This window comes from Homo sapiens, chromosome 11 (assembly GCF_000001405.40).
Source record: "Homo sapiens chromosome 11, GRCh38.p14 Primary Assembly".
NCBI lineage: Eukaryota > Metazoa > Chordata > Mammalia > Primates > Hominidae > Homo > Homo sapiens.
The window spans coordinates 70,454,828-70,467,853 of record NC_000011.10 but is presented as its reverse complement, the minus strand read 5'-3'; the positions used below and the strand labels follow the sequence as shown (position 1 = coordinate 70,467,853).

At 51.4% G+C, this 13,026-nt stretch overlaps 1 annotated feature.

Annotated features, from left to right (window-relative positions):
* Window positions 12,342–12,411: a silencer, noted in NCBI's record as "silent region_3705". NCBI's record gives its function as "represses an Ori minimal core promoter by ATAC-STARR-seq in GM12878 lymphoblastoid cells {active_cell/tissue: GM12878}" and the evidence as "EXISTENCE:reporter gene assay evidence [ECO:0000049][PMID:35858748]".

Here is a 13,026-nt window from a genome sequence, read left to right as displayed (position 1 = left end):
TAAGATTGTGTTATCAATTAATTTTCCATTAAAAGTGCTCTCTACTGTATCATTTTCAGTATTTTCATTTAATTAAAATACAAAATGTGTTTGAGGATTTTCATGGAAAGGAGAAAAGTTTAACCACAGGAGCCCTGGGCTCTCTGACCTACTCCCCTTGTGCTGTGCCGCCCCCCGGTGGTACTCATTGGTAATGCTTAACGAAGCCATCAATATCAATCATTTCGACGTTTTGTTATAAATATACACAAATTCATTTTTAGTGATTGAGGCCACTCATTGCAGGAAAACTGTTTCCATTTTTCACAAGTGAAAGTGGCAACATGTGTGTTTTTCTTTCGACAAAAAAACGATGTGAGAAGTACATCAGTGTAATTCTTGTCTCAATGCTGTCATGCTCCATTTGCTTTAAGTGCGAAGCTTCCCTGAGCAGCCTCTGCCTTTCTAGAGGATGAGCCTGCGGTGTAGTGAGCATATTAGGGCTGCCATCTGCCTGTGGGACCAGAATAGCCACAGCAATAGTGAGCGTTTGTGGGATTCCGGACAGATGGGAGCGGCAGCAGCCCCATCTTCTCGGGGGCCCCCCCGCAAACAGGCCGCAGAAGTTCTGGAGGCAGAGCACTGCCACAGGCTGTCCTGCCACACACATCTCTCCAGGGAGTGAGGAGCTACTCAGATCCAGAACTCCCCACTGTGCCTGCTCAGCTCACAGACTATTATCGGTGTGGCTATTTACCAGCCAGAAGAGTCCACTGGAATTCAGACTGTGTAGTTTCAGGCAACAATGCAGCCAATAATCCAAGAACCTGCAGGGTGCTCAGGGAGATGTGGCCAAAGCTTCTTGGTCACCCTGCTCCACATGTGCTGCTACCTCCGCTCCAAGTATGAAGCATGTGTCTGAGAGCCAGAGGAGGGGCCCTGGCACTGCTCACAGCCACTGGGTAAGACCTGGCAGCCAGGCCCTAGGCCCCCATGAGGTAGGGACCACGGAAATGGCCCAGTTCACAGGACAGAGTGTGGAGACCCCTCACCAGCCACCTGCATCTGGGGGCCGGCCCCTCTGACGCGGTGCTCCTGGAAGGCAAGCCATCCTGCCATTGCCCAACTGTAGTCATCTCTGCCCAAGATGACTGCAAAAACAGAATTAAGCGTGTTCTCCAAACCCCAGAACCCGGGGAGTGGGAAAAACACATAGCCCCTGCAGCCCTGCAGAGGTGGCCACAAGCACAAGCATTCTGTGTGTATACCCAAGAGGCGGTACAGGTTGGAAACAGCACTCAGTCTACCTAGTGCTATCTGGGACGGGCACCGTTCAGATCACTGCACCCACCACGTGGCTAAAAGCCCTGTGAGGTAACAACTAAAGCCCTATTTCCCAGATGAGGAAACTAAGTCTTGCCAAGGTCCACAGCAAGTGGAGAAGCAGAGGTTGCTGTGCAGCTTCCCAAGTCTATCTACAGGTGACAGAACCCAGCCCGGGGCCTTGGGAACCATCGCTGGCTCCGAATCTGCTCCACCCACAGGGTGCTTCCTCTCCCTGCCCCATCTGACGTCATATGTGCAGGGCTAAGAATTCAGGAGGCGGGGCAAGGGGGGAGTCCCTACCAGCTGAATCACCTCAGGGTTGTGGAAAACGAAGACCGAATTCAGTGGCAATCTGGTTACCTTAATTCACTCCACTGGGATCAGGAGAACCAAGACCTAGAAACCCCTGTTTCTCAGAGAAAGGACCCAACATTTGTAAAGTCCCCTTGGCTTAGAGGGCATGTGACACATGGATCTGCTTTAATTCCCACAAGAATCCTATGAGGTTAAGCATCACTGAGGTGACTATCTCCTTTTCTCACGAGGACACCGAGGCTTGGAGAACCAGTTGCCATTGCCCATGGCCTCCAGGCACCTACACAAGTTATCCCCAGACTGTGGGCCCTCACCATGGGGGCAGAGTTGCCCGAGGCCAGTCCTTCCCAGGTCCTCCATGAAGCCTTCCTCTTGTGGCTGTGAACTGCCCAGAGCCCTCCCAACACACACCTCTGTGGCCTCAGCCAGCCAGAGCCCATTTCTGTTGCTTACAACCACCATATGACAGAGCTCCTAGCCCCCCACGATGATGATGTGTTTTCTCCCACAGCCCACGGCCTCCCTCTGCCAGTCAGAACTGGGGCAGCCCTTTCCTCTCCTTCCACTGTCACCCCCATTGGCAGAAGAGAAAGGCGGAGCTAATGAAGAATGAGATGGGGGTCTCATGGCTCCCGAGTGAGCCTGGAAATGGCTTGCCAGCCCCATGCAGCTGTGAAGCTCCACTTAACGCCAAGGGCATGGCCAGCTGCCCTCCTGGCCTTGGAGCCACCTGGGAGAGCTAAGAAACGCTCCATCTTCACAAGTGGGAGTTTATACAAGGTGCCCGATAGAGACATCGAGGCTCCAGGGAAAACCACACAGCCTGAGACCTTTAACACCCAGCATGCTTGCTGGGAAAGACCAGCCTCCCTCGCCAATAGGCATGGGACCAGCTTTCTCCGGTAGGCCCCAGGAGGGCTAAGTGGAGAGTGTGGTGGGAAGGAAGGAGACCACAAAAAGAGAGGTCTAGAAATAGCAGGAAACACAAGCCACCTGTGCATTCATAGCAGCGACACAGAGACGGCCACACTGACCTCAGCTCTGCCACTCTGCCCACCAGGTCCAGAGCCATCTGGCCCCACCCACCCTCCTCTTCGGGCTTCCTCCCTGCTCACCTGGCTCCAGCCACAGTGCCACCTCAGCGCCGCCTCCCTGTGGGGTCCCCGTACCTACATGGCTTCCCAGATCACCTGATTTAGAATGGGACTTACTGCCATCACCCCCTCCCACATCCCCAGGGCACTTACTGCCACCTTCACTGGCTTATTGCTTTACTTACTTGCTCACTGATTAGTGCCCACCGCCCCACCCCGCCCACACATGCCTCTGGAAGACAATCCCCGTGGGGGAGGCACGGCCTGTTTCATGCACTGCTGTAACCCTGGCCCAGGCAATGTCTGCAGGGACAGCCCCTCCTAGAGGCCCCCTCACAGCCTCAGCCCACTGCAGCTGTGCCCATGCTGTGGCCACTCCCACTCCTGCAGCTTCCATCTGGTCCTCAGACACCTGGTAAGGAAGAGGGGATTCCCCAAAGGCTCGGAGCACTGCCTGCCCCTCCACGGGCCCTCCTAGTCCCCTGCCTGGAAAGTGCCTGGGAGTCTTCCACCTGCCCTGCTCCCCGAGGCCACCAGACCCACGGACTTCGCCCGTCCTGTCCCAGGGTGTGGAAAGGAACACTTCCCTAGTCCTCTCAGCGGCCGCAGCAGAAGCAGACTGTGTTCTGGGCGGATGCTTGGGCTGAAACCCCCAAACCCCACGAGTCTGTTTCTGGCACACGGAGCTGGGCTCCACAAGGGAAAGACGCCTGTATAGACTGGCCCCGTTTCAGTGAGTGGAAAGTCCCACAGCTCCTTGGGGTACTAAGGGGATGCTGGGAGGGTGCGCGACTCGTGCACCGAGGCCCACAGTGGAGGGGCTGGGAGTGCAGCCATTCTCCCAAAATCAGGTGTTTGGGGTCGCGTATCGCAACCCCCAGCTTCCGGAAGGAGACACAGTGTCTGCCCTCGGCTCACCTGAGCGTAGCTTCAAAGACCGCAAAGGCGTCCCTGAATGAGGACAAAGATTCCAGCCTTGGCCCGACTCTAGCCGGGCGCCTCGGAGACCTCACCTGGCCTAGGCTTAACCTCGGCCTATGGAAACGACAGCCTCTCAAACCCCATGTCTCCGCCCACCTCTCGCCTGTCATTAAGACTTCAGCCAACACTAATGGCTCAAGGCCGCCGCCCCGGGAGGCCCCAAGGCCCCTCAAAGGCCCAACTCGAGGAAGGGCAGGGCTGCCGGAGAACTGCTGCTCCAGCCGCGCCGGCCGGGCCCAGGCGCGTTCCTTGGAGCCTTCACCGCGGGGAGCCGGCACCTCAGTGATTCTGGCGTCGTGCACCCGGCGTCTCGCTCCAGGACCCGAGAGCCGCCGTAGGGAGGGTTTGCAGAACCCAAACCGCCACACCTGCCAGCGCATCCACACCCACAGCCCCGAGGCACGCTCCACTTGCGCCCCTACTCACCCTCATTCTCCTCTCAGTAGGCGAAGGGCGCCTCCGCGCAGGCAGCCGAGCTCAGGTGGCGCCGGGCCTGCTCCCGCGTGCGAAGCCGTCCTCACGCCGCAGCGGCGGGGCCTTCGCCCTCCTCGTGGCCCGCAGCCCCCGGCTCCCAGGCCAGGGATCTGGGTGAGGGCGAGGGCCACAGAACGGGGAGGAGATTGGTCACTGGGGGCCCCCACTCTGGAAGGGGCCAAAGCCAGGCCCACCTTTCCCCCCAACAACCCCCGCGCCACCTCACCCAGGTCCCAAGCAGGATGCAGCCACCCACGGCCGCCATCCCACCTTCTGAGCCTGGCCTGCACTCTACTCCCGCCTTTGAACAAGGCGGGCAGAGGACTCTGGGCCCACTGGTCACATGCCTCACATTGACCAATCACTGGCAAAGAATGGGGATCCACGATTGGCTGAGCTAGAGTAGGCAGGGCAGCTATCAGCCAATCCCTGGGACCAGGAGGCGGGTCCACAGACGAGGCAGGTGCCCTGGGAGGGAGCTGGGATATTGATGTCCCCTTAGGTGCCTGTATCCTCCTAAGGGAGCAGTGAGAAGTCCCTCCTTCAGTGTGGGGGTGCACATGTTTGAGGTTTGTTTAAGAGTTATGGCTTTGAATTTCAAAGCTATGTAACCACATTAGGCACACCCTGGAAAATGGAGAATTGCCACAGCCCTGCCACCAAGCTGAGTTCACCTCCAGTCCTAACACCCACCTTCTCCCTGCATTGAATCATGACGCACCTACACCTCCACTCCTGCTTCCTTGGCTTCCGTTTAGCCCCCAAACCTTGCTTGCATGGCCGTCAGTCCCCAGCCCTTCATGGAAATGGTGGTGTGAGATCCCATTGAGTGGTATGGTGTGATGTCCTTGACAATGTCCTTTTAGTTGGCATTCGGGATAACGACCACTTTTCGCTATTACGGTATCATCTTACATCCAGTCCTCTGAAGGTGTGGTGTTCACATCACTATGGTGCTGCTGCATACACTTCAACCCACGAGACAGACCCTAGGCAGGGTCTGTGCAGAGCGGTGGGACAGATATAAAGAGGACATGTATTGAAACAGAGTCAGGGCTCCAGCCTCAAAGAACTCTTGTCCTCATCCAAGTTCTGGAGCTTGTTAGCTATGTGGCCAGGGCACCTTAACACAGATGTGAACATTTTCACTCTGACCCCTGGACGTAGATCAAACAATGGAAGTAAACAGTTGTGTCTGTTGATATCATGTTTGGCTGCAAATAACAGAAACTCCAATTAAAAGCAATTTAAACAAATAATGGTTTATTCTTTTCATATCACACAAAAATGTAAGCTCCAGAAGGGCCTGGATTTGTCGGTCTTGTTCACTGCCCCAGCACCTAGAATAGGATGTTCTTAGTATGTGCTGGAGAAGAGGTGGGTGGTTCCCGGCTTTGGTCTGACAGCTCAACAGTGTCAAGTCTCAGATTCCCTCAAACTTACCACCTCACAGCACCCAAAGGCTGCTGCCACTCCACACACGACATTCTCTTCCAAGGTAGGAAGAAGGGACAAGACTATGACAGCCAAGTCTCTCTCTTTTAACAGAAAAGTCAATGCTTTCCCAGAAATGTCTACCAACACATCAGCCACAATGGTGTCTGCAGCAAATTAGAAGCAAGGCAGACTGGCAGAGTGAGTGGTTAGCTTGGCACTGTGCTGCCAGGAACAAAATGGGGTGGGTGGGATGGAGGACAAAATGTTAGCAAGGCAGAAGGGGAATGGACAATGGGTGGGCACGTGGCAGATGCTAGCAAGAGTGTGTTCAGGTGGAGTGTCCTCACTGAGCATGTGTAAGTGTATGGTTCATTGGCATTAGATAAATTCAATGTTGTACAGCCATCACCACTACCTAGTTCCATCACCCTAAACAGAAATCCCGTACTCAGTGAGCAGGCCCTCCTTGTTCCTGCCACCACCCCATCCCCAGCTGCAGGCAACCACAAATCTACTTAACATCACTATGGATTTGCCTATTCTGAGCATTTCTTATAAACGGAATCAGGAAATATTTGTCCTTGTGTAACTGGCTTATTTACTTACTGCAGTATTTCAAGATTCATCCAAGTTGTGGCAGGTATCAGAACTTTGCTCTTTATTATGGCTGAATATTATTTCACTGAATGAGTAGATCATATTTTGTTTATTCTCTTGTCAGTTGATGAATATTTGGGTTTTTTCCACCTTTTGGCTATCGTGGATAGGGCTGCTGTGAACATTTGTGCATGAGTTTTTGTTTGAACACCTATTTTCAATTTGGCGGGGGTTGGGGGGGCGTATACTGAAAAGTAGAACTGCTGGGTCCTGTGGTATTGCAATGTTGAACTTGTTCAGGATCTGCCAAGCTGTTTTCTACAATGGCGGCACCATTTGACATGCCGCCTGGAGTGCATGGGGGCTCCCATTTCTGTCTGCCGCATCTCTCCGGGAGAGTTATGTTTGAGCTGGGAAGGGGCCAAGCTCCATCCGTCTCACTCCTGTGTGCAGCACAGGCACTGGGGATGGATTTGAGAGTCAGAGACTCTGCGTCTCCCACACGCACCAGGCACTGCTGGCGAGGCTAGGTCTGCATCCCTGCATTCCACTTCCCTGAGCACAGGAGGGGGCATTTGTGAAAAGGGGGATGCCCAGGCGTCCTCTGGGAACTCGGATTCAGTAGGAAGGAAGCCTGGGAATCTGTTTTCAACAGGCTCCCAGGGGAGTCTGATGGGAAGGTGGAGAAACTGCTCCATATAACCCCATCCTCAGTTGACTGGGGCAAGGGGTGGGTGACAGACACCAGTGCTACAGCCACAGGCCCTCAGAGTGCAGGGTGCATGGGTGACTTTAGTGGCAGGGCAGCTTGTATACCGGCTGTCTGGCAGTCCCCTGTGGCTCCATCAGCCCCTAGTTTACAGAAGAGGAGGCTCTAAGGCAGTGATTCTCAGGGTGTGGTCCCTGTACTGGCTGCAGCAGATCAGATCACTTGGGAGCTGGTTAGAAATGCAAGTTCCCCTGACCCCCAACACACACACACACACACACACACACACACACGCGCGCGCGCGCGCGCAATCAGAAACTCCGGGCACAGCCCAGTGAGCTGTGTGTTAGCAAGCCCTCCAGGTGATCCCATGCCTGTTTAAGTCTGAGCACATAAAAACTTTCATTCCTGCAGTATAAACCTCCCCCAAACCTCCAGCTGTGGGACATCAGGGGACACAGGGGGACCACTGCAGCCACTGTGGTTTCCCATATGGCCATGCAGCACTGAGCACTGCCCCACAGTCCCAGAGGCAGTGGCCACCTCATGAGGAAGGGGCCGCACCACAGCACTGCCCAAGCTCTGCCTGTGGACACCTCTGCAGCAGCTCATCTGGCCACAAGGAACACCAGAGAGAGAATACTGTGGCCTCTGATGCTGAGGATTGGCCAGGGTACCCCTCCCACTGAGCTCCACTGTCCAGGGCAGGACGAACCTCAGCTGGGAACCAGCCACCTGGGTTCCAAGACTACACCAACCACTGACCAAGGAAGCAAGGAACCTGTCTGCGCCTCTGCCTTCTCATCTCAAAGGGGCTAACAGTCGCTGGAACCCCAGGGCCTTTGTGGGAGCAAATGAGGTCCTGGGTAGGAAATTACCTAGCAAAGCAAAAGGAAATATATGGTTAGAGGTTGAATTATTTTGTGTGCTTTTTGTTTTGTTTTGTTTTGAGATGAAGTCTCGCTCCATTGTCCAGACTGGAGTGCAGTGGCACGATCTCGGCTCACCGCAACCTCCGCCTCCCAGGTTCAAGCAATTCTCCTGTCTCAGCCTCCCGAGCAGCTAGGACTACAGGTGCCTGCCACCATCCCTGGCTAATTTTTGTATTTTTAGTAGAGATGGGGTTTCACCTTGTTGGTCAGGCTGGTCTCGAGCTCCCGACCTCAGGTGATCCACCCACCTCAGCCTCCCAAAGTGCTGGGATTACAGGTGTGAGCCACCATGCCTGGCCTGTTTTTTCTAAAGAGACAGGGTCTCACTATGTTGCCCAGGCTGGCCGCAACCACCTGGGCTCAAGTGATCCTCCTGCCTCAGCCTTCCAAGTAACTGAGACTAGGTATGTGCCACCACGCCTGGCTAGTTCAGATTATTTTTTAATTAATAAGTAATACTACGTGTGGTACAAAATTCAAAAGGCAGCAGGAAAAAGCATGTATCCCCTCCTAATCAACTCCCCAGCCCCCTGGGCCCTTTCCCAAAGCTTGGGCCTACTAAGAATCCCTTGCAATGTTTTCCAGGGCTGGTGCTTACATCTGCAAGCATAGATGTAGGAATCATTTTAAAAACCCAAACAGAGCTCACTCTATGCATTTCTCTGCAATAGTCTTGTCCTTTTTAAAATTATTATGAAATGTATCAGGCATACCAAAAGGATGGAGAATAACAAACAGCCATGCCCACCACCCAGCTTCAGACATCAAACATTACAGGTACAATACAAATCCTTCATACTGTCCAGATTCCACCCTCTTTCCTCCTACCCTAGAAGTAACCACTGCCCTGAACTTGGCGTTCATCATTTCTGTGCCTGTTTTTATTCGTTTATTGCTTATGTATGCTTCTATAAACAATATGTAGTATTATTGTGTTCATTTTAAAACCTTATATAAATGGCCTCTAGCTCATGCATAATAAATTAGCAATCCTTATGAAGAGAACCATGCCCAGCACAGTCATCACTCAATTAAGTGTTGGCCACAATTATCATTGATATTATAGTTATTGGCAATCACGAATCCTTCTGCAGCTGGCTTATTTTGTTCACTAGCATTTTGAGATCCATCCAAGATGACAGATGTAGTCTAAATCATTTATATTCACAGCTGAATAGTATTCTGTGAATATATCAAAATTATTTAGCTATTCATCTGTCAATGGATCTTCAAATTATTTCCAATTTTTCACTATTAAAAACAATGCTATTTTGAGGGGGAGGGATGGCTAGGTGGAGCACAGAGGATTTTTAGGGCAGTGAAACTATCCTGTATGATACGTGTCCTTATTCATTTGTCCAAACCCATAGAATGCACACCACCAACAGTGCACCCTAACGTAAACCACTGGCAGGTGGGTGATGGCGATGTTTCCATGTAGGTTCATTGCTTGTAAGAAATGGACCACTCTGGTGGGGAACGTTGACATTGGAGAGGCTGCTGTGTGTGGGGCCAGGAATATATGGGATATCTATGTACCTTCTACTCAGTTTTACTGTGAACTTAAAACTGCTATTAAAAAAAAAAAATTAGTCTTGGGTAGTGCAGTGGCTCATGCCTGTAATCCCAGCACTTTGGGAGGCCAAGGCGGGAGGATCACTTGAGGTCAGGAGTTTGAGACCAGTCTGGCCAACATGACAAAACTCTGTCTCTACTAAAAATAAAAAATTAGCCGGGCATAGTGGCACATGCCTGTAGTCCTAGCTACTTACGAGGCTGAGGCAAGAGGATCACTTGAACCTGGGAGGCAGAGGTTGCAGTGAGCCGAAATCGTGCCACTGTACTCCAGCATGGCAAAAGAGGGAGACTCTGTCTTAAAAAAAAAAAAAAAACTCAAATAAAAATTTTAAAACATTGATTTTCTACGTTATGCTAAATGAAAGAACCCAGTCACAACCATATATTATATGATTCCATTTACAGGAAATGTCCAGAACAAGCAAATCCATAGAGACAGAAAGTAGACAAGTGGTTGCCAGGAGTGTGGGTGGCGGGAGGAGGAGGATGGGAGGGACTGCTGATGGGTAGGGCCTTTCCTCTGGGGTGATGAAAATTTTCTGGAATTAAACAGTGATGATATTTCCATAATTCTGTCAATACACTAAAAACCATTGGACTGTACAATGTAAATAGGTAAATTATATGGTATGCAAATTATCTTAATAAATCTATTTTTTAAGAAAAAGAAAACCAAAACCAATGCTTTTCTAAATGTAACGTGGGATCCTAGATTGGATCCTGAAACAGAAAAAGGACATTCGCGGAAAAATTGATGAAACCCAAATAAAATCTGTCATTTAATTAATAACATTCTACCAATGTTAATTTCTTGGTTTTCATAAATGTATCATGATTAAGATGTTAATTGTAGGAGAAAACTGAGCAGGGTAGTATACAAGAATTCTCTGTATTGGATTTGTAACTTCTCTGTAAATCTGAAATTATTCCAAAATTAAAAATTCATGTAAGAAGCAAATGCTGTGATGAACGCCCAAGTGCACGGCTATCAGGGCAACTCTCGGGTGCTCGTGCAGGAGTGGAACTGCTGAGTCATCTCCAACCCTGTGGAAATTACTGAATTGTTTCTTGCGGGGCCCGTGGCTTTGTTAGTCAACAGTGTAGCCTGGCGATGGTTCCCAGGCATCATTGTTCTTTGTAGGCTGTCCAGTTCCTTTGCACAGATGTTCTGCAGTGTATGCAACCAGCCCTCGTGGATGGGCAGTGAAGTCTCCTTTCTCTGCCTGGCCGCCCCGTCTGGGAGGTGAGGGGTGCCTCTGCCCGGCCGCCCCGTCTGGGAGGTGAGGGGCGCCACTGCTGGGCCGCCCCGTCTGGGAGGTGAGGAGCGCCTCTGCATGGCCGCCCCGTCTGGAAAGTGAGGAGCGCCAATGCCGGGCCGCCCCGTCTGGGAAATGGGGGGGGGCGCCTCTGCATGGCCGCCCTGTCTGGGAAGTGAGGGGCGCCTCTGCATGGCCGCCCCGTCTGGGAGGTGAGGGGCGCCTCTGCATGGCCGCCCCGTCTGGGAGGTGAGGGGCGCCTCTGCCCGGCCGCCCCATCTGGGAGGTGAGGGGCGCCTCTGCCTGGCCGCTGTGTAATCTTCCAAGTGTGAAGTGACAGGCTTTCTGCAGGTGTACCCAACAGCTCCAAAGAGACAGCGACCATCAAGAACTGGCCATGATGACAATGGTGGTTTTGTCGAAAAGAAAAGGGGGAAATGTGGGGAAAAGAAAGAGAGATCAGATTGTTACTGTGTCTGTGTAGAAAGAAGTAGACATAGGAGACTCCACTTTGTTCTGTACTAAGAAAAATTCTTCTGCCGTGGGATGCTGTTAATCTATAACCTTACCCCCAACCCCCTGCTCTCTGAAACATGTGCTGTGTCCACTCAGGGTTAAATGGATTAAGGGCGGTACAAGATGTGCTTTGTTAAACAGATGCTTGAAGGCAGCATGCTCGTTAAGAGTCATCACCACTCCCTAATCTCAAGTACCCAGGGACAGAAACGCTGCGGAAGGCCACAGGGACCTCTGCCTAGGAAAACCAGAGACCTTTGTTCACGTGTTTATCTGCTGTCCTTCTCTCCACTATTATCCTATGACCCTGCCACATCCCCCTCTCCGAGAAACACCCAAGAATGATCAATAAATATAAAAAAAAAAAAAAAGTTGTCTCCTTTATGAACATGCTCCTGTAGCGAAGATAAATCCTTAGAAGCCGAACTGTGAGCTGAAGGACATGTTTAATTGTTGCCCACCCCCTCCCCCCTCCCACAAGATGGTATCAGGCACGCACATCAGCAATGGCAACATTTTCCATGCGCGAACCCATGCCCATTTTTTGCTGGATCCAAATAAGAAATGCAAACATCTCTGACAGTTACCATTGCTGCTGAAGGAGTGAAGGACACACCATCCCCCAGTATGCCAGATTGGTATATCGATTACGTGAAAGGAAAAGAAAAACTCAGGACCCCAATCCACTCCACCCAAAGGAAAAAACTAAACTGAGAGCTGAGTCGTGCAAGAAGCTGCCTTTCCTTTTGTTCCCAAGCAGAGAGTGACGGATAAAAGGCGAAATGTCTCCACTCTGTTCACCGGGTTTTGTGTAACGAATATGTAACTGACGATTCCCCTACTGCCCCTTTTCTCTTGCATCATGGGAATTCCGAAACGTGGCCACGCCCTCCCTTCCTTCCCCTCCTGCCTGCTTTTCCCTTTAAATACTGAAGCCCTCAAAACCACCTTTGGAGGAAGGCACAGGCCTGTCTTCCAGGCACACATCCTTAACCTTGGCAAAATCAACTTCTAAATAAATTGAGACCTGTCTCAGACACTTTTTGGTTTACAATTATTTCATGTTGAAAACTGGAGGAACTGAAAACTGGAGAAATGATGCCTGGGAACCATGACCAGTAGTTTCAGAAAGGGTGAGGTGACCTGTCACTTCCTGCATGCAGGTAGCATAAGGATGCCTCTGGGAGGGGTCCCCTCTCTGTGCCAGGGCAAGAAAGCAGCCCTTATCACCAGAGACTGGACATCGGGGGCTGCAATGGGCCTGAATAAACATAGATAATGCAGTAGCCCTCATCTTCCACCTACTTTACATGCCCCTGTACGTCTCCAAGTGACTCCCCCAGAAAATTGACTGCCCCAGCTAGATTTTCTTTGTCCTGTCGTTTCTTCTCAAATTTATTACTCTTTGCCTAAAAAACATAAAAGCATCTTTGTATTCTCGGGTGGGTCTGAAAAAAAAAAGAAAGAAGGAAAAAGGAGGCTGGGCACAGTGGCTCAGGCCTGTAATCCCAGCACTTTCGGAGGCCAAGGCGGGTGGTACACCTGAGGTCAGGAGTTCAAGACCAGCCTGGCCAACATGGCGAATCCCCGTCTCCACTACAAAAACACACAAACAAGTTAGCTGGGCGTGGTGGCACACACCTGTAATCCCAGCTACTCGGGGGACTGAGGCAAGAGAATCACTTGAACCTGGGAGGCGGAGGTTGCAGGGAGCCAAGTCGCACCACTGCACTCCAGCCTGGGGGACAGATCAAGACTCCATCTCAAAAAAAAAAAAGAAAAGAAAAAAGAAAAGGACAAAAATAAAGTAAAAGCATCTCGCTTGGGCTACA